We start from the raw sequence: 20,948 nt of genomic DNA, 5'->3' as shown, positions 1-20,948 counted from the left end.
CTTCACACTAGAACAGCAGCAGCAGTTCCTCCCCGGGTCTCCAGCTCCATGACCCTCACACTAGCAGCACCGGCTGCACCTTGGGTCTCCAGATCCACCACCCTCAAACTAGAACGGCAGCAGCAGCTCCTCCCCGAGTCTCCAGATCCACAAGCCTCAAACTAGAACAGCAGCACTGGCTCCTCCCTGGGTCTCCAGCTCTATGACCCTCAGACTTGAGGAGCTGGAGACTCAGGGAGGAGCCAGTGCTGCTATTCTACTTTGAGGGTTGTGGAGCTGGAGACCCAACGTGCAGCTGCAGCTGCTCTTCTAGTTTGAGGGTCTTGGAGCTGGAGCCTTTCTGAGGACCTGGTGCTGCCTTTCAAGTCTGAGAGTCGTTAAGCTGGAGATCCAGGGAGGAACCAGTGTTGCTGTTGTAGTCTGAGGGTTGTGGAGCTGGAGACCAAGGTAGGTGCTGATGCTGCTGCAATTCAAGTTTGAGGGTGGTGAAGCTAGAGACCCAAGGAGGAGTCAGTGCTGCTGTTCCTGTCTGAGGGTTGTGGAGCTGGAGACCCGGGGAGAGGCTCGTGCTGCTGTTCTAGTTTGAGGGTCATGGAGCTGGAGATCCGGGGAAGAGCTGTTGCTGCCGTTCAAATCTGTGGGTCCTGGAGCTGGAGCCCTGGGGAGGAGCCGGTGCTGCCATTCATGTCTTAGGGTCATGGAGCTGGAAACCCAGGGAGGAGGCGATGCTGCTGTTCTAGTTTAAGGATCGTGGAGCTGAAGACCCGGACAGGAGCTGGTGCTACCGCTGTTTAAATCTGAAGGAAGGTCGTGGAGCTGGAGCCTTGGGGAGGTACCGGTGCTGCCTCTCAAGTCTGAGAGTCATTGAGCTGGAGATCCAGGGAGGAGCCGGTGCTGCTGTCATAGTTTGAGGATCGTGGAGCTGGAGATGGGAGGAGCTGGTGCTGCAGTTCAAGTTTGATGGCTGTGGAGCTGGAGACCTAGGGAGGAGCTGGTGCTACCACTGTGTAAGTCTGAGGGTCGTGGAGCTGGTGGCCCTGGGGAGGAGCAAGTGCTACAGTTGAGGGTCTACAGTTTTGAGGGTCAGGGAGCTGGAGACCCAGGGAGTAGCTGGTGCTGCTGTTTTAGTTTGAGGGTCTTGAAGCTGGAGCCTTGGGGAGGAGCCAGTGCTGCCTCTCAAGTCTGAGAATCATTGAGCTGGAGGGAAGCTGGTGCTGCTGTTGTAGTTTGAGGATCGTGGAGCTGTAGACCCGGGGAGGAGCTGGTTCCGCAGTTGAAGTTTGAGGGTCGGGGAGCTGGGGAGCTGGAGATCTTGGGAGGAGCCAGTGCTTCTGTTTAAGTCTGAGGGTCATGGAGCTAAACATGGAGCCAAATTTGGGGAAGTAGAGAGAGAGAGTCACAGGACGCCACTTGAAACTGTAGATGTAGCTGTACCCCAAGCAAGTTAAGCTTGGGAACTTCTCAATTCTAGTGATTAATACATTCTTTTTCCTCTTACACAGTTTGGATTTGTTTTCTGTCTCATGAGACGGAAAGACAATGATTAATACCCTTAAGAACTGAAAAGCTTAAAAAAACTAATGATGTTGGTAATAATAATAATAATAATAATCGGAATTAAACCATCATTATCCTGACTGACAGAGACGAAATTACACACACACTATATATATATTTTCAATCAGTTAGTAAAATAAAAAATGAATTGAAAAATAGACCCAAGCAAAGCTATAAAATCTTCTTTCATGGAGACGCAATGGAGGACAGAGATTAATCTGAGAGCTGCTGTTAATGGAGAAACTGAGAATTTACCATTTTTCCTGTGAGGTTTTGGTGCAGAATGATATTCTGTGAGTTCTGGCAGCTGAGTCACTTTGCACAGCCTGGTGATGCAGTTGGTGTCACAGAAAGACCCTGTCCCAGCTGATCCTGCCTCTCTGCTATGATGAGTGCGGCCTCTGATGCCCGACAACTGACTGTGTCTTGAGAGGAGACCAGGCCCATGAGCACAAGGGTATCCATCCATGGTGAGGTTCCATGGATGGAACACCATGGATGTTCCTGATGTTCCTTCCTGATGTGTATCTGCCATCTTGCTATTTAATGGATCTTTTTTATAATTGCCTTCTAAACATTGAACAGAAGAAAGTATTTATACAATATGGGTAGAATATCGACACGTTGGACACACAGGACCTCCACCAAGTTTAGGAAATAGAATCTGAAGAGACTTAACTTTGGATGCTCCCTGGAGGCCCCTCCTGAATCCCAGTCCCTTCCCTTGTACAGAGGGAGTCACTTTCTGCTTTAGTCTTTATTATTCCCATGCTTTTCTTCTTAGTACATTTCTTTCACCATGTATGTGTACATCCCTAAACAATATGCCATTTAGTTTTTGAACTTTCTGTTGTCTTTTTGAGACAGGGTCTTGCTCTGTTGCCTCAGCTGCAGTTTTTGAACTTTGATGTGAAGGAATTCTTTTGTGTGGCTGCAATGAGTCTGAGCATTTGCTTGATGTCTATTTTTGTCCTCCATTCTCTTCCTGAGACCCATCCACATTGACGTGATTCATTTTCATTGCTGCGTGATCTTGATCTCCCGTGGTATGAGGGGAACATGGGAAATGTCTTCATTTTCCTGTTGATGAGTGTTTGGCCAGGTTGGGGCCCTTAGGGCTGTGTTGCTAGAACGTTCTTGAGCATTTCTTTTGTACAGAAGTGCAAGTTTCTTCTGGTCTGTAGCTTTCAATTTTTAAAACTTCATCCCTGGTAAGACATGTAATTTTTCTCATAACCCACAACACACATCCTTTCATATACAAGTATACTAAAAAAAAAAAAACAAATTTACAACCATTCTTAGAAGGGGCTGAGTGTTCTTGTTGCTCTCCATTCTCCCCAACCCTTGCATTTATTGGGTTGTGGGGGTTTTGCCAGTCTAGTGGGTGTCATGTGATACCTCATCCTGTTAGGCTGAAACCCTCTTCATGTTTTTATTGGCCATTCCTTCACATTTCCTCTTCTGTGAAGGGCTGGTTCAACTCTTTTGCCCATTTTCCCTTTAGTTGTCTGAATTTTTGCCTTTTTCTTTTGTTATTATTATTTGAGATGGAGTCTCACTCTGTTGCTCAGGCTGGAGTGCAATGGCACGATCTTGGCTCACTGCCACCTCCGCCTTCCTGGTTCAAGTGATTCTCCTGCCTCAGCCTCCAGATTAGCTGGAATTACGGGTTGCATGTCAAACTCTCCCTTCTGGCTGGCAGCCTGTGCATCACTCACTCTTCATTTCTAGACCACCAGGAATTCGAATTCAAGCCTTAGCAAATCCAGAGGCCTCCAGCAGATCAGGATGACCCCATAGACTCAGCATCTCAGGAGCCTTAATCCCTTTGGCAATAATCCTATTGCTGGAATTTCTTAAAATGCTTTGCCATTTTCTCTTGTGCTACCTGATGGAAGAATTCCTGCCCTTAAAGTTTTAACTTATTGAAGAAGAAATCTCAACCAAAAGAACATTTTCTGTCATCTTCTTTGGTTGTGGAAAAACAGATGCTTCTCTAAACCATGATTTTGTTCTTCTAAAGCATTGCCACTGAAATACCATGGCCGACTTCAGAACACCAGGGATTCTTTTCATGTCGTGAATCAGAATTTTCTAATTTGTTCATAAGAAAATATATAGGCATGATTCTTTCCTTTGGTAATTTATCTGCTACTGATATTTAATTAAAAATATCTATTTTCTTTCTTTTTTTTTTTTTTTTTGAGAGGCGGAGTCTCACTCTGTGGCCCAGGCTGGAATGCAGTGGCGCGCGATCTCAGCTCACTGCAAGCTCCGCCTCCTGTGTTCCTGCCATTCTCCTGCCTCAGCCTCCCGAGTAGCTGGGACTACAGGCGCCCACCACCACGCCTGGCTAATTTTTTTGTATTTTTAGTCGAGACGGGGTTTCACCATGTTAGCCAGGATGGTCTCGATCTCCTTGAACCGGTGGTCCGCCTGCCTCTGCCTCCCAAAGTGCTGGGATTACAGGCGTGAGCCACCGCGCCTGGCCAAAAATCTCTATTTTCTAAAATATTTATTGACTTCTGAATTTTGTGTTATAATCCAGTAGAGAATTAATGGGATTTCATTCTTTCTTCATGTGATTGAGTAATAAGCTAGGGATTCCGCTAGACTCTTTGGGAAGAAGGTAACTAAACAACACTTCTAAATTACAGGACCTCTGACTGTCAGTCTTGAACATTGTCCTAATACTTGACAGACACCAATGTTCCTATTCTTAAAAGACGTGACTGGCTGGGCACGGTGGCTCACGCCTGTAATCCTAGCACTTTGGGAGGCCAAGGTGGGTGGATCACCTGAGGTTGGGAGTTCACTACCAGCCTGACCAACGTGGAGAAACCCCGTCTACTAAAAATACAAAATTAGCTGGGCCTGGTGGTGGGCGCCTGTAGTCCCAGCTACTTGGGAGGCTGAGGCAGGAGACTCGTTTGAACCCTGGAGTTGGAGGTTGCAGTGAGCCGAGATCACGCCATTGCACTCCCACCTGGGCAACAAGAGCAAAACACTGTATCAAAACAAACAAACAAACAAACAAACAAACAAAAACAGGCTGGGCGCGGTGGCTCACGCCTGTAATCCCAGCACTTTGGGAGGCCAAGGCGGGCGGATCACAAGGTCAGGAGATCGAGACTATCCTGGCTAACACTGTGAAACCCCGTCTCTACTAAAAACACAGCAAAAAAATTAGCCGGGTGTGGGGGCGGGCGCCTGTAGTCCCAGCTACCCGGGAGGCTGAGGCAGGAGAATGGTGTGAACCTGGGAGGCAGAGCTTGCAGTGAGCCAAGATCACACCACTGCACTCTAGCCTGGGCAACAGAGCAAGACTCTGTCTCAAAACAAAACAAACAAACAAACAAACAAAAAAACCTTTTTCTGGTTTGGCCCCAGTACACTACACCCTGGGCGGTGACGTTCCTTGTCATCCCTCAGCCCTGACCACAACTAATTCTATTAGAAGTAATCTCCACATCAGATTAATCTCTATTTTTAAGAGTTATTTTATTCCTCTGTGGACAAAAGATCAGATTTGGAATGTATAAAAAACTCCTTCAAATAAATAAGAATACATCTAATTCTCCTATGATTGGGCAAATGCCACGAGCAGTTCAGAGATTCCGAAGAAGCCCATGAAAGATTTGACATGTCCCACATAATCAAGATAACACACATGAAAGGACAATGCAATGCCCTCTCACACCCATTCTACTGACAGATGTTTAAATCTGTCTACACCAGGTGGTGGGCAGGAAGTGGAACATCAGAGACTTCTTCCATTGTGGGTAAGAGTCTATATTGAATCGTTCCTTTGACACAGACTCAGGTGATATCCAGGACAGTGGACACTGTGCTCATCCCACTACCCAGCAATCCGAGTCAGTTTCAGGCTCCAAGCATGTTCCAGAAAGCATGGAGATATTTGGTTGTTTACTTTGCTGTTGTTTTCATATTAAAAAGTTAGCAATAAAACATTCCACTAAAGTACAGCATGTTTTCTCATGTTGGTGTTAGATTTCTGTTTCTATGTCAGACTAGAACATCTGAACTAGCAAAAGATTAAGCAACCAAAACGCTGGATAAAAAGATGTTAAATCTTTCAAATATATTAATGAGGACCTCTGAGTGACACACAGGAAGAAGTACCACATCAATCCAAATCTCTCCTCATATTTCCAGAAATACAGAGGTCAAGTAATGGGGCAAATAAAACACCCTGATCTGTATTTTCAGTAAAATAAGTAGATAAAAAATGCCTAAATCCATCAGATCCTTGTTTGTAAAACAGATAATCAAAACAACTGGTGAACTTTGAGTGGTGTCTGAGCATGAGATGGATGTAACGTATGGATGTGAAATCTGTTTTGGTGATTGTATTGTGCTTATTAGGAGAGTGTCATGGTTGTTAGGAAGAACACTAAAGTATGGGGCATGAGGTGGCATCATTAAAGATGAGGCATCAGCGTGGCAGCTCGCTCTCAAGTAGTGCAGGCAGAGAAGTCCTCTGGATTCTGCCTGCAAATACTTTGCAATTCTTGCTTGTTTCAAATTTTGTTGTTGTTGTTGTTGTTGTTTACTAGTTGAAAATAGGAACTTAAGAAAAATGTACTTTTCAGAAACTGATGTAAAGATATAAATCCCTCAATAAATCCACTATGGTTTCTTCTCCTCCTCCGAAGCCAGGGCCTCCAGGTGTTTCCCTCTCACCCTCTGTTCTCTGCTTAAGGCAGCTTCTCCTCCCTTCTCCTCTCCTGCAGGCAACTCCTAGGTCCTTCTAGAGCCTGAAGCAGCTCAGCCTAAAACAGGAGCTGGGGTCATTCAGGTTCACAGGCCTTGACCCTCACTTGAATGCAGGAGCTGGCAGGAGGTGAGTCAGAGAAAAGGCTCAGCAGCTATTCTGAGATTAGATCAGCTGTCTTAGCTGCCTAGGTGTGTGCATGTGTGTGCATTGTATGTGTGTATGTGTGTCTGTGTCTGTTTATGTGTGCATGTGTGTTTCCATGGATTTTCTGGCTGGAACTCATGACTATAATAGGAATTTCCCACATATCCGCCCTGTCCCTTCTCACCTCCTGACATCTCTTCTTTTCTGATCCTCTATAGTCAAACCCTCCTGGCCTACTCCTGGTCCTATCTAGTTGCCTTCAGGCTTTCTGTTCTGGTGCATCTTCTAGAGGGTATCATATTTCCCACCAGCTCAGAGCCAGTCATGCTTTAAAAGTTGGGCACAAATGTCATCTCCCGTTAGGTTAGCCATACCTTCTTATACTAGGATTCTCCAGAGAAACAGAAGCAAGTGTGTGTGTGTGTGTGTGTGTGTGTGTGTGTGTGTGTGTGTGTGTGTGTGTAGCAGGCTAGAGAGAGAGAGAGAGATTATTAGAAATTGCCTATCGCCAATATGTGACTGGCAAGCCCACAATCTGCAGTGTGGGCCACCCGGCTGGAGACCCAGGAATGCTGATGGGGCAGGTGCAGTCTGCGGAGAATTTTTCTTTTTTGGAGAGGCCAATCTTTTAGATGTTTTCAAGACTTCCACTAATTAGATTCAAGCCCACCTCTGTTACAGGGGTAATCTGCTTTACTCAGCGTTCACCAATTTAAATGTCAATCTCATCCAAATCACCTTCCAGGTTGACATATCACATCACACCTCCCCAGGCTAAATTATTCCCCCCTCCTGTGTCCTGAACCCACGGTGAGAGGATTTCGCTGTGTGAGATCAGATTGAATGAAGAAAATGTGGCCCACATACACCATGAAAATCTATGCAGCCGTGAAAGACAACAAAATGAAGTTCTTTCCAGCTACATGGATGGACCTGGAGGCCATTATCATAAGCAACCTAACACAGGAGTAGAAGACCACATGCTGCAGGTTCCCATTTACAGATAGGAGCTAAACATTGAATACACATGAATGTAAAGATGGAGACACTGGAGATCACTAGACAGGGGAGCGGGGAGGGGAACATGGGCTGAAGAACCACCTGTTGGGTACCATGCTTACTGGCTGAGTGATGGGATCACTAGGACCCCAAGCCTCAGCCTCCCACAATTGACCCATATAACAAACCTGCATGTGTACCCCTTACAATAAGAATTGAAATAAAAAATGAATAAATAATTAAAATGACATGAGGCCAAAAAAAAATAATTAAGTGGTAGGAGCAAGAGAGAGCTCTGCACTATGAACTCTATCCCTGCTCTAAAAATATACACTCTAGTCATTTAAAATAATTCTAAGGTGTATGATCATAATTTTATAAAAATTACATATGATTACACCAAAACCCTAACATTAAACACCGCATGATAGAATTTCAGATGATTTCCACCTTGTTCTTTATACCCTTCTTTTTTGTCATATTTTCCAGTGATATTTTTTGTTTATTCTCCACAAGTCATTGCTTCCAGGTGTCCCCTTCTGCACCCACTCCCTCCTTTTCTACTGTCCACCTCAGCCCTTCCTCTGGCCTGGGACTGTGGCTTCCTTGGCACCGAAGGCACAAGAGCTGCATTCAGCATCAGGAGAGAAGAGGATGCAGAGAAGGTTGTGGAGATGGTCTCGACAAAGCAGAGAAACCTAACAGCGCCCAGTCTCTATTGCAGATAGCTGCGTTTCTCCACCATGTTAGCTGCAACCAAGCCAAACTTGTCCCTTTCCTGATTGGTTTTTCTCTCACTCTTCCCAACTCCCACTTGAAAATTCACATTCTTCCACCTACTATTTATTTCTACTTCTTGTCTTCACAATATATTCTGATTTACTGTGCCCAGAAAACACTGGTCCCACCATGTCTTAAGTTACCATCTAAAGTGTAGTGAATGAATGAACAAGAAAGAAGCCCCTGCCCCAATCACTGCCTCTGATTTATTCACTCACAGGATTAGTATAGCCTCAGCACCAACAATGGGCTGTGCTGCGGATGCTTCCCTGAGGAAAACAGACAAAATCCCTGCTCCAGTGGGGACAGCAGGTGAACGTAATGAGCAGGTGCATTGCATCGGGCATAGGAAGGTGACAGATGATTCGGGGGCGGGGAACAAGGTTGTGGGGAGGAAGAGTGGGAGGGGAGCCCCCAGGTCCTCAGTAGCCTGAACAGGAAGTTCTCCCAAGAAGGTGACCTGTGAGTCCTGGCTTCAAGGAGGTGAGCATTCCCTCAGGAGGCAGAGCCGGCGAAATGGCCTGGAGTGGTCCAGGGAAAATCCAGAAGGTGCCTCCGTAAGATTTTCAAGACAACCTTAAAACAAAGGCTGGGTGCGGTGGCTCACAGCTGTAAATCCCAGCACTTTGGGAGGCCAAGGTCAGTGGATCACGAGGTCAGGATATCAAGACCATCCTGGCCAACATGGTGAAACCCTGTCTTTACTAAAAGTACAAAACTTAGCTGGGCATGGTGAGGTGTTCCTGTAGTCACAGACACTCAGGAGGCTGAGGCAGGAAAATCACTTGAATCCAGGAGATAGAGGTTGCAGTAGGCCGAGATCACGCCACTGCACTCTGGCCTGGGGACAGAGCGAGACTCTGTCTCAAAAAAACAAAACAAAAGAAAACAAAAAACAAAACAAACAAAAAAGAAATACCGGAGAATGTATTTTGTAAGTAATTAGGACCAAACAATCAATATTTATCACCGAGCAATTTAATCATGATTTAAGAAAATATTTCACATGAATTGAAAAAGTAGTATGTTTATTTCGTGTTTTTTTTTTTTTTGAGCTGAAAGGGCCAGGTGTCATTAATTAACAGCAGTTTATACACATTTGTTTCCTTCCCACGGTTGTTTCCTTCCCAGGGCAGGCCCAGAGCCCTTGAGAAGCGCAGTCTCTGAATGAGGGAGGCAGGAACGCAGATTGGACACATCCTTGGCGGCACATCCAGCCCCAACAGTATACAATCCTTCAAGTTGGAATTCCGTTGGGTATTTGAGAGGGAGCAAGGTTGGGGGTAGAGAGGGAGTCTTCGACAGGACTCACATCTCAGTCCAGGCCTCCTCACTATCCAAGTCCATACAAGTTTTAGGACCCTGAGGGGCAACAATCAGGCCTACCCACCTCAACAGGGGCAAATTCTTCCATCTGTGCCCAGTTCACACACACCCGCTTCCACTGGTCGCACAGTTCAGGAGAATCACCCTTATGGTAAGACACAGACCACGTCCTCACTGCCCCTCCCCGGCACCTCTCTTCAGCGGCACCTGTGCAGGAACTGCTGGGAAGATTGAGACCTGCCTTCTAAGTTCAGCCACATGTGCCCTCATCCGCAAATCTTTCATCAGTGACAGGATGGAGGCCACACGTGGACCCAGGTGGACACCTGTGCTCCCCAATCCATCACACGCTGCCCTGCCTGCGTGCTGCCAGCGGCTGGTTCCCAAGCCAAAGCTCCAGCAGACCCCGAATTGGGACCTAAAGCCAGTTTGCATAGGCACTTGGCAATTTTTGGTAGGGAGGTGGATAAAAAAGTAGATGGGTGTGAGAAGAATGAAAGAGTTTCATTTGATAGACTGATTAGAGATCTGAAGTGATTTTACTTTTCTTTCCTTCACTTTAAGCAAATCATGAAATTTCACAGTCATTTCTGGGGAGGGGGCAGAAGGAAGGCGGTGTTAAGAATCATCGGGTCTGTGGGCCGTCGGTCCATGGAGGTGAAGGCAGGGTGGGCCCTCACTGGGGCAGCTGGAGGAGCACGGACCGCCCCGCCGGCAGGTAGGTGATGTTCCGAGAGCCTGAGAGCTGGTGCGCGATGTCCTCTGCAGCTTCCAGCTTGCTCAGCTCCATCAAGCTGTCCCCTGAGGTGGCCAGTTCGTTGGCAATCAGCTCAGCTTCCTTGGAGTCGCCCTCAGTAGAGATGATGGCCACCTTTTTCTGCTGCTCAGCCTTTTCCACAATTCTGGCCCTCTCTGCTTCCTGCTGAGCCACCTGTTTGGCTTCCACCGCTTCTGTGAACAACTTCTTGAAGGCCAGATGTGTCCAGGACACGTTGTCCAGGATGAGCCCAAAGATGGCTGCTTGCTCTGTAAGGTCGTCACTCACCTGCCTGGAAACCAGCTCTCTCTGGGTGATTAGTTCTCCAGCATCAAAACGAGCCACCACTGACTTGAGGATCTCAGTCATGATGGACGTCAGCACACGCTCATCATAGTCCTCTCCGGTGATGGCGAAGATGCGAGGAAGCTGGCTAGAGACGGGCCGGAAGAGGATGCACAGTGTGATGTTGACATTCTGTAAATATTTGCTACCAGTGATGACTGGCACAGTATGTGGTCGAGAACGGCAGTCAAAGATCATTGATTTCTGTACCCATGGGATGAGAAAGTGAGTCCTTTCCCTACCACAATGTCTGGTAATCCACAGAATCATTCAAAGATGACAGCTCTGTGCCCAGCATCCTTATTATATAAGCCTGACTTCACCATGCCTCCTGCAACAGCTAAGGCCAGGCCAAACTTGCCGATGGACTCAAACACTTTGGCAGCCATGTTTTCTTCTGCTGGATCCTCTCACACCTGTTTCCACTCTGACCTCCACAAGAATTCCCCCTATTTCATTCTTAAATAGACACATGTGTTTATTAATGGACATGTGTACCTGCTGGGCACTGAGCAACTTCTCAAACCTTGCAAGCAGATTGGACACAGCCATCCTTATTTCCTATTTCATACCGATTTTTGCAGAGGTTCTTGGTTTTTTATCACAACAACTGTTGAAATCACAGATTTTAAAAATACTATGTCATCTAAAGCAATGTTGCATAGTCTAATGTTGAAATTATAAAAAATCTTGGACTAGTACTTTCTAGTGTGGTCCAGCACACTATTTCAATAGGCCCAGAGGGTTTGCTCAAGGTGCGTTTGTGCCCTGAGCTCCTTGGCACACAGCTTGGGATCCACAGCCAAGGGCTACAGAGAAGACAAAACAGACGTTGACATCATGGTGGATGAGGGGTCCATAAAGAGTTCCTTTTTAGGGGTTGGGGCAGTTCCTCCCACCCTGCAGATAAAGATGCTCTGAGAGTAAAGAGCAGAGGGGTGCTCTCTGGTGGCCCAGCAGTTCTGCCCCACGGGAGAGGTTTCTCGTCTGCTGCAACGTAAACCAATAGGACTCTGCTTCATCCCAGAACCAAGGGGACCAGGAATGAAGGTCAGAGTGAGGAGCTGTCTGAGTGTTTCAGATCACACAGTGACATCCTGATTGACGACTTCAGAAATCCTTCATGAGCGAGGAGGCAGCCCCTGAGGTGACAGGTGAGTGGGCAGGATGGGCCAGACATGACAACTCTTGAGATGACACCCAGTTTCTTCTGTGTGTTTATGTGTCTTTGTGTGTGCACGTGCATTTGTGTCTGTGTCTCTATTTCAGTATACATTTGTGTATGTGTGTGTTTTTGTGTGAGTGTATGTGTATGTGTGGTGTGAGTGTGTGAGAGACTGTGCGTGCATATCTCTGTGTGTGTTTGCGTGTGTGTGTGTTAACATACATGTATGAATGGTGAATTGATTTCCTGGTTGATTTGCTGTGGATGGAGACAGGGACTCCAGGGGGGTTCCTGCCCACCCCTCCTTCCCTATCTTCCCTCCTGACATTCCCTCCTCCCTGTGGAAAGAGTCTACCCCAGTAACTGAGGTTTCATTACTACAGACTTCTCACAGATTCCCAACGTTCTATGATATTTGTACCCCCAGGCCACCTCCTCATCCTTGTCCCTCTGCCAGGTGCCCTGTTTTCTCTTCCCACCTGGCTATGCTGTATTCTTCCCATTCCCAAAAGAAGAGTCTGAAATGCCACCTCCCGAGAAGCCTCCATGCAACTCCCCAGGCAGAATGAGTCACCCCCTCTTCTGTACTCTGATAGCCCCAACCACCTCGAGGACATCACATCAGCAGGAGCAGCCACGTGGGTATTTGTTTCTGTCCCTGGATTCTAAGTTCCTGAAGGACTGGACACATCCATCACCCACATGTAAACCCAGCACCTAGCACAGTGGCTACCATACAATAGGGTTTAAGACACATGGGAGGAATCCAATCATCAGACTACCCCAGGGCTGCTAGAACTCAGAAAGGGATCCCCATCATTTGGGGGATTGGACGAAGGTCTTCATTTCTGTTCTTTCCAGCACCAACCTCCATGGCTCCACTCATCCCTACTCCTTCCTCCTGTTAAGATTGGCCAGTCAGGAGAGGTGTAGAGGCAGGAGCAGCTACACCTGGTCTCCTCCACCACCCACAGTGGGGTGCACCCTTGATGGGACCTGGTGAGCATGACAGCCCCTGAGCCATGGGGACCTGGAGCCTCTGCAGCCCCACAGAGACCAGGAGGAGCTGTTCAGCCACTTGCAGAGACAGCCAGAGAGTGCTTCAAGGACTGCATGGAGCTCTGCAGAAGCAGGGCGTTCAGGGCCCTCTTTTGAGGGGCATGAGATATTTAGGCAGGATCATGTCTACAAAAGAGGCTGTCACTTTGGCTTATCAATACTTTCACCTCCTTACCCCTTCCAGATCAGAGTGGGCGCTTTACTTGTTTTTATGGATTATTGTGTCAACCAAAATGAGAGGTTAGAATCAACCTAAAAATTTGAAACTTCTTCAAGATTTGACGAATGCACAACATTTTAATACCACTTCTATCTTTAGGAAGCTGTGGCTAAAGAAAACATTATATTATATAGCATTCCCCAAATTACTTATACAGAATTTTAAAAATCTACATAATGTCATACAACCATGTGAAAAGTAAAAACTAAAAAGCAATAACTTTTGGGGCCAGGAGTGGTGGTTCATGTCTGTAATCCCAGAACTTTGGGAAGCCAATGCCGAGGATTGCTTGGGGCTAGGAGTTGGAGATGAGCCGTGGCAACGTGGTGAGACCCTGTCTCTACAGAAAATTTTAAAACAGACCAAGTATAGTAGCATGTCACTGTAGTCCCAGCTCCTCAGGAGGCTAAGGTGGAAGGATCACTTGAGCCTGGGAGTTTGAGGTAGCAGTGAGTCATGGTGGTGCCACTGCACTCCAGACTGGGTGACAGAGTGAGAGCCTGTCTCAAAGAAAACAACAACAACAGCAACAATAACAGCAGAAATAACAAAAAAAAAATTTAAACTCCAATAAGCTAAATTGACAGAAGACTTGTGGGACCCAAATGACCAAATCATGCAATTTCTTACTTTTGATGTATTCAGGGGTATGCTGAGTGTTACTATTCTCAGAAGGTTACATCTCATGAAATATAATTTCCTCTGGCAAATCCACTCCTTAGTCCAGGTCCTCTGAGAAGCAGACGCCTACACAGGATTCATAAGGGGACTTCATTGGTGGAAACCCTGGGAGAACCGTTCAGCAGGAGGCAGTTCTGACACCAAGTGCAGGAGGAGGGACAGGAGGTGGGACAGGTGCATCCTACACTGCAGTGAATGGTGCTGGGACAACTGGATGCCACATGCAGAAGAATGAGGCTGACCCCTTCCTTACAGCACACACAAAAACTAGCTCTAGATGAATGGCAGGTGTTCACCTAAGACATGAAACTATGACAGTCTCAGAAGAAAGTAGAGCAGTAAATTTTTGTGACCCCGGATTTGGCTAATGCTTCTTAAGTACTGTATGCCAGTAGTGCAAATGGCAAAATAAAAGGTAGCTTAATTTCATTTCATGCTAATGTAAAACCTCTGTACTTCAAAAAGACTTCCATTTAGAAGGTTAAAACACTTTAAAAATTTAGAAAATGTTTGAAAATCCTATATCTGGTAAGGGGCTGCTATGCTGAATACATAAAGAACTCTTGCAACTCAACATTATAAAGCAAAATAACCCAATTTAAATATATGCAAAGGATTTGAATAGATATTTCTCCAAAGTGAGACACAAAGTGGTCACAAAAGAATAGAAAATTTTAGGCAGCAGTTTCAGGTGACTAGCAAAAGGAATTTGTTGAAATATCTGTTAGGCTCTGGGCTGATAAAACCCTAAAAGACAGGATGTGGACCAAGCTGGCTAGGAAAGAGTGGACCAAACATGGCCCTGGATTTGACCTAGGTTTCACCTAGGACCTCATTATATGCTCATTAACATACTAAACACACACCCACCAGTGTCCTGGCAATTCTGAGAATACCCATATTGGGTGTAAAAATGGGTGGCACCACAGTTCTGAGAAATCTCCACCTTCTTCCAGGAATTTTGATGAATATTCCACCCCTTGGTTGAAGAAACGCTGAAAGTTGGCAGCCCCAAACCCCCTTGCCCCTGCCTCTCTCTTGAGTTCCCCTGCACTCCCTTTACTTGAGTGTGTACTTTTCCTTTTACAATAAATCTCCATCCTTTCTCTATTTTCCTACTCGTCCTTGAATTCATTTCCTCATGCGGTGTCAAGAGCCCCACACCGGCTAGAGTCGGGGTCCCATCAGCGTTTGGGGACCTCCCCTTGCCCACTGGCATCAGAAGAAGAATGCAAATTGCAGTGAGCCCAGGAAAAGGTGTTTGGTGTTCACAGCCCTCAGGGAAATGCCAATCGCACCCACAAGAGGCATCCCGCTGAAATGGCTGATCCCAAACACAGTGAGGGTGGAGGGGGTGGGGCCTGCGTTCCTTACAGGGCAGAGAGCAGGAGACGGAGAGTCGGTGGAGTGTGGGGGCTGTGCGCGTGTCCCCCTCTCCCCACTTTCGTGGTGGGGGTTGCTCATTGTTCTCCGGCCTTACCTGCTTCCTTCCTCTCCCTTTCTCCCGCCCTCTCTCCGATCCTTCTTTTCCACCCATCCCAAGGTTTTCTCCGCCTCACGACGTCCATGCTCCGGGCCCCCAGCCCAGTGGAGAAACCAGGAGCCCTGGACCGCGAGCGGCGGGGTCGGGGAGGCGACAACGGGAAGCCCCTGCCGGACCCTGGACACTCAGGACCTAGTGCGGCCCGGGCGCCCTCCCGCAGCATCCCCAGGGCAAGGAGGATGGGGGTCCTCGCGGAGGCCACACTGCCGGAGCCCCACGGATCCAAGCGGGACGGTGAGGTCTCCACACTGAGCCGGTGGCAAAGTTTCCGCGAGGATGAAGTAGGAACCCCGTGCTCCTCACCCCACCGACCCCCGCATTTCCTGGCTCCTTCCCTTGCCGCTACCGGCGAGTCCTCCCAGGTCTTCCAAAGGCCGTTTTGTCCGGACGCTGTGGACTCGGAGGCCCGGGAGCATCGGCCGCAAGCGGGGCACCAACTCCGCGGTCTCCACTGGGCAGGACCCGGGTCCAGAGCTCGGGGACAGCGGGCGCCCTGGGAGGAGCGCGCAGAACTCGGAGAGGACGCGGCGGGGTAGAAACAGAAACCCCCAGGAGAGAACTTTCCCCGAAAGTCATCTGTGGTTGAAATCAGCAATCACCTGTAATGTCCCCCCTATGACAACACCGTTGGGTAAATTTCTAGAACCAGTGCCTCATCACTGCAGCAGCCTCGTGCGACTCTGCCCAGATTGCCCGTCCCCGGACTCTCGTAGCCCACAACAGATCAGGCGAGCTCAACTGGTGACCGTCGCCGGGGCTCCCGGCCCCACCCTTCCTTACTACTTCACCTCCATATATTCACGTGTATCAGGATCGAAACCATGAAAAGTCATGTGTGAAAGGCTCCCCCGCCCCTGCCTGCGTCCACTCTCATTGGCCACACAGACGAAACTTTATTGGATTCTTTTCATCTTTCCAGGGAATCTTTACTCCATTTCAAATGCATATGAATACATATTCTTCATTCAGACTTGGATATTTTTGACTCTTGATGAACCCTGTCACCTTGTCCCTCAGGAAGCCTGTACCAGTTTCCCCTCCCTCTGCAGTGGATGTTTCACCATCCTCTGCCCAAGCTGGGTCATCACAATCACAGACAAGAGTGTTACCAGCATTGCCATCCCGTGACATGAGACACTTTAAAGGTGCATTACTTTGCACAGCAATTCTGTGTCTGGAAATCTATTCTACACAATTGAATTGAGATTCATTCAAGCACACTTTCTGCAGCATTTGGTTTCTGTAAAAATAACTGACTGGAGACCATCTAGATCTTCAGACATAGACACTGGTTACATGTTGTGATGCAGTCATTCTATACAATGTCGTGCAGAGAAAAAAAGGAAAAGAATCTGTATGTGTGGGTCTTGGAACATCTTCAGAGTGTTTTATTTTGAGATAGAATCTGCATGCAGCAGAGTGCCTATGGGCTTATATTTAAAAACCAGCATTGATATGTATACACATCTCTATTGTTAGTAAGGAAAACAGTGTTTCCACAACTTATTGCTAATCTGTTTATCCATTTTAGGAAAAATCAATATAGTTGAAAAGCCATGGTGGCAGGAATTGGTCATCACCGATCCAGATTCTACACTGCCCTACAGATGATCCCAACTGAGGTTGCCAGAGGAACAGGATGTGGAATGCAGTCACGTTTCAGAGAGGAACGTAAAGTCAATCTGGACCAGGAGTCTTGCCCTGACCTCTGCCTCTTCACCCAACCCCCACCTGGTCAGGCAGTGCCCTAGAGGGGCTGGGAGGATGCTGGGAGGGCAGTGATGATGGGGAGCCAATGGTGAGAGCATGGTGAACACAGTGAGCCTGGACCCTGCAGTGTCTGGGAAGGAGCTGGTGTGATGCTGGGAGCATTGGGAAGGCAGCGAGCCTGGGCTCAGCACTCACTGCTCCTCCCATCTGGGACAGGATTGGGGTGGCTGATGAGAAAATTTTCCTGAGTAGCACAGTCCCCAAGCCTGGCAGAATGACTCGCCCCGATTGCACTCACAGCCAAGACCCACTTGGACCCTGGACCGATCTACCACATGGCATGGTAAAGGCAGGAGTATGACTACTACTGAGGCTTCTGCCAGGGCATGGGAAACAGCAACCCGAGGGGCTCAGACTACCCTGCACCCCACTCTCCCACACTGAGTGGGGAGAAAGCCTTGAGCCCAGGAGATTGAGGTTTCAGTGAACTATGATCGTGCCACTGCACTCCAGACTGGTCATACACATGCTCACACGCACAAATTAAATTGTGGCATGATACATGTAACATGAAAGTTTGCATCTTAACCATTTTTAAATGTAAAGGCATCTTTTTCAAAATGCAGTATTTCCACCTGCCTGAGCAATCCTAGGCCTTCCTCACCTGAATTTTTTCTTCCTAAAGCAAGGACCACTTTAAAACAGATAGTGTTAGCTTTCAATAGCTGTTGTAAAAAAATACTGCAAATTTAGTGGCTTAGCACAAGACATATTGATTTTCTTATGGTTCTGGAGCTCAGAAGTCCGAATGGTCTCAGGGGGATAACGTCACTGCGCTGTCAGAGCTGTGTTCCTTCAGGAGGCTCTCAGAGAGAACCTGTCTCCTCCTTTCCTTTTCCAGCTTCTCCAGCTGCCCACATCCATGGCACAGGACCCATTTCCCACCTACAAATGGAGCTCCACCAGGCTGGGTCCTCAGTGTGCCCTCTGTCTCGTTCTCCCTCTTCTGTCCCCATCTTCCTATATAAAGATCCTGTGGTTACAATGGACCCCTGGGAAATCCAGAGAATTACCCCATCTCCAGGACAGATGATGAGCAACCTCAGCTCCATCTGCAGCCTTCATTCCCCTTTCCATGTAACCCAATGCAGAGGTTCCAGGGACTCAGACCCGCATCTTGTCAGGGAGGTAGGGGTGAGGGTAGAATGATTCTGCCCAGCATCCATATCATATACTTTTTATATTTATCATTTTTCCACCTTAAAATGGCGGAGGGAGCAGAGCAATCTTGGAGAAGAGATTTTGCATCCTATTAAAATTAAGCATGCAGCTCATCCCTCTGCTTTTAGCACTTTGTAAGGCCAAGGAGGAAACATTGCTTGAGCCAGGAGGTCAAGGCTACAGTGAGCTATGATCACACCACTGCATGCCAGCCCAGGTCAGCCCAGGAGGTCAAGGGTGCAGTGAGTTATGATCATGCCACTGCATGCCAGCCTGGGTCAGCCCAGGAGGTCAAGGCTACAGTGAACTATGATCATACCACTGCATGCCAGCCTTGGTCCGCCCAGGAGGTCAAGGCTGCAATGAGCTATGATCTTGCCACTGCATGCCAGCCTGGGTATCAGAGTGAGACCCTGCCTCAGAAAATAAAATAGCATAAAATAAGATTAAAAGTTGTTTTTAATCCAATCTAGGTTGTGATAAATTAAGATATTAATTGCTATTCCCCAGGAAAACCACTAAGAAAGTAAGATTTTAAAAATAATCAAGGAAAAAGAAACAAAAGGAAACTAAAGTGATGCAGTAGAAAATATCTATTTAACACAAAGGAAGGAAATAATGGTGGAAAAGACCAACAGGAAAGATATAGGACACATGGAAAAGTAAGAGCAAGGTGACAGGTGTAAATTCTGCCTTAGCAGTAATTCCATTAACTCTCAAACTATTAAATACTCAAAAGCAAAAGCAGAGGTTGACAGAATGCATTTTATAAATGATCTAAAGATACAATATAGATCCAAAGATACAAGTAGGTTGAAAGTAAAACTATGAAAAAGATAAAGCACACCAATAGTAAAGAAAGACAGTTGAGATTGCTATTAACAATTTTTTGTCTGTGTTTCTAGAGACAGGGTCTTGATTTGTTGCCCAGGCTGGCCTTGCTCCTGGGCTCAAGCAATCCTCCAATCTCGGCCTCTCAAAGTGCTGGGATTACAGGTGTGAGCCACAGTGCCCGGCCTGAAATTAATAACATCAGGCAATATGGTCTTTAAGACAAAAATATTTTCCAAAACACTCTTTAAAAATGAAATGATCAAGAAGAAAATGACAAGGAAAATCAGAAAATACTTTAAGGTGAATTAAAACAAAAACACAGCATATTATAACTTATGAGAAGTAGCTAAAGCAGTCCTTAGAGGGAAATGTATTGCTGTCAGTGTGAATATATTGAGAAAGATAAAAGAAACAAAGGAGTAATCTCAAATTGAGAACCTAATATTTCACTTGAAGAAACTCAAAAAAGAAGCCATCTACTCAAAATAAACAAAGAATAGAAATTAAAAGTGTAAATAAATGAAGTAGAGAAGAGAAAAACATTGGAGAACTCAACAAAACCAATAGCTGAGTGTTTGAAAAGCTTGTTCATTGCCATTGGAGGTGGCTTTGATGGATTTCTAGAAACAGACCACAGAGAGGAAAGGAAAAGTAATTCTCAAGAGAGGGAACACTAAGGAGAAAGGTCTGAAAACACAGTGACACCCACAGTTTCGAGGCTGGTGAGAAATCCACAGTGAGTGGAGCAGAAGCAAGTGCAGTGAGGAAGAAGAGTCAGGAGGGAGAAGGGAGAGGAGGATGGGAGAGCACAGGCATGCCAGCATGACTAGGAGGAGCCTCCCATGAGGGGGTCATGTTCACAGTCGCACACACACTCACACTCACACACACTCTCACACATAAACCTACACCCCCCCCACACACACACACACAAGGGTGTACTTCAACGGCATCTCCAGGGCGCTCCCAGTGCTCTGCTGTCAGTTACCTGCGAGCTCCAGCCTCTTCTCCCTGTGAATGGGGAAGTCCATAAGCTAGCTTTTGCAATGTCCCTTGGAGACCTTCTGGAAGAACATGGTCACTTCCCTTCATTCTTCCACTTCTCTTTCTTCTGTCTGCCTCCAGCATGAATCACTGTCCACTTTCTCTTCTCTGAGTCAGAGAGGAGGAAGATCTGTCTATCAAAGTCTAAATGCCAAGATCCACTACTATGTCCATCACCTTCCCGCTCACGAGACATCCTGGCCTGCAGGGTGAGGGGTTCTGCCCCCTTGGAAAGAGATCAGCTCTGGTCTTGACAAATCCTGTGCCACCACCCTGTCCCACTTCCAACCTCCTGCTCTTGCTCTCGCTGCCATATCCTGTCCTTGCCTCTGGCCCTCTCGGATTTATATTGCTACAGGAAATCAATAATTGCCTCCAACCTACTACTGTCTGCTCCCTCCTGTCCTGGACCATTTTAAACTTATCCCTGGGTGTGTCATTCTCCAGCTGAATGTCCAGCAGTTGCTCTGTGAGCATGTCCACCACCTTTTTCAGTACTGGATTCTGTGCTTTCCAGGCCCGTGTGACATTTATTTTCTTCCGCAGGGAACTGAAGGATTTAACTGTGTTATTGCAACAGTCAGAGAGAAGAAAAATCTTTTTATCCACCTGACCTTGAACCTCGCACTACCGTGGTTCAGATCTGAACTTAGGGATGATGGTGACGTCATAGCAAAGAGAGTGAGGGCCTGAGCAGGAGAAATGTAGGTGACGGTTGGGTGGGAGTAAAAGGACAGCTAGACACCGCTCCCCCACACTGTGACAGCAAGAGGATGCCTCTGGAGAGATGGGTTGGCCAAGTAAGAAGTCCCCTCCTGGCCA

At 47.1% G+C, this 20,948-nt stretch overlaps 2 pseudogenes; both read right to left on the bottom strand.

Annotated features, from left to right (window-relative positions):
• PHB1P1 (PHB1 pseudogene 1) lies at positions 9,273-11,098 on the bottom strand (annotated as a pseudogene).
• On the bottom strand, positions 20,018-20,815 carry RAET1M (retinoic acid early transcript 1M (pseudogene); annotated as a pseudogene).

This window comes from Homo sapiens, chromosome 6, assembly GCF_000001405.40.
Source record: "Homo sapiens chromosome 6, GRCh38.p14 Primary Assembly".
NCBI lineage: Eukaryota > Metazoa > Chordata > Mammalia > Primates > Hominidae > Homo > Homo sapiens.
Note: the sequence above shows the minus strand (reverse complement) of the source record. Positions and strands in the feature narration are given on the sequence as shown.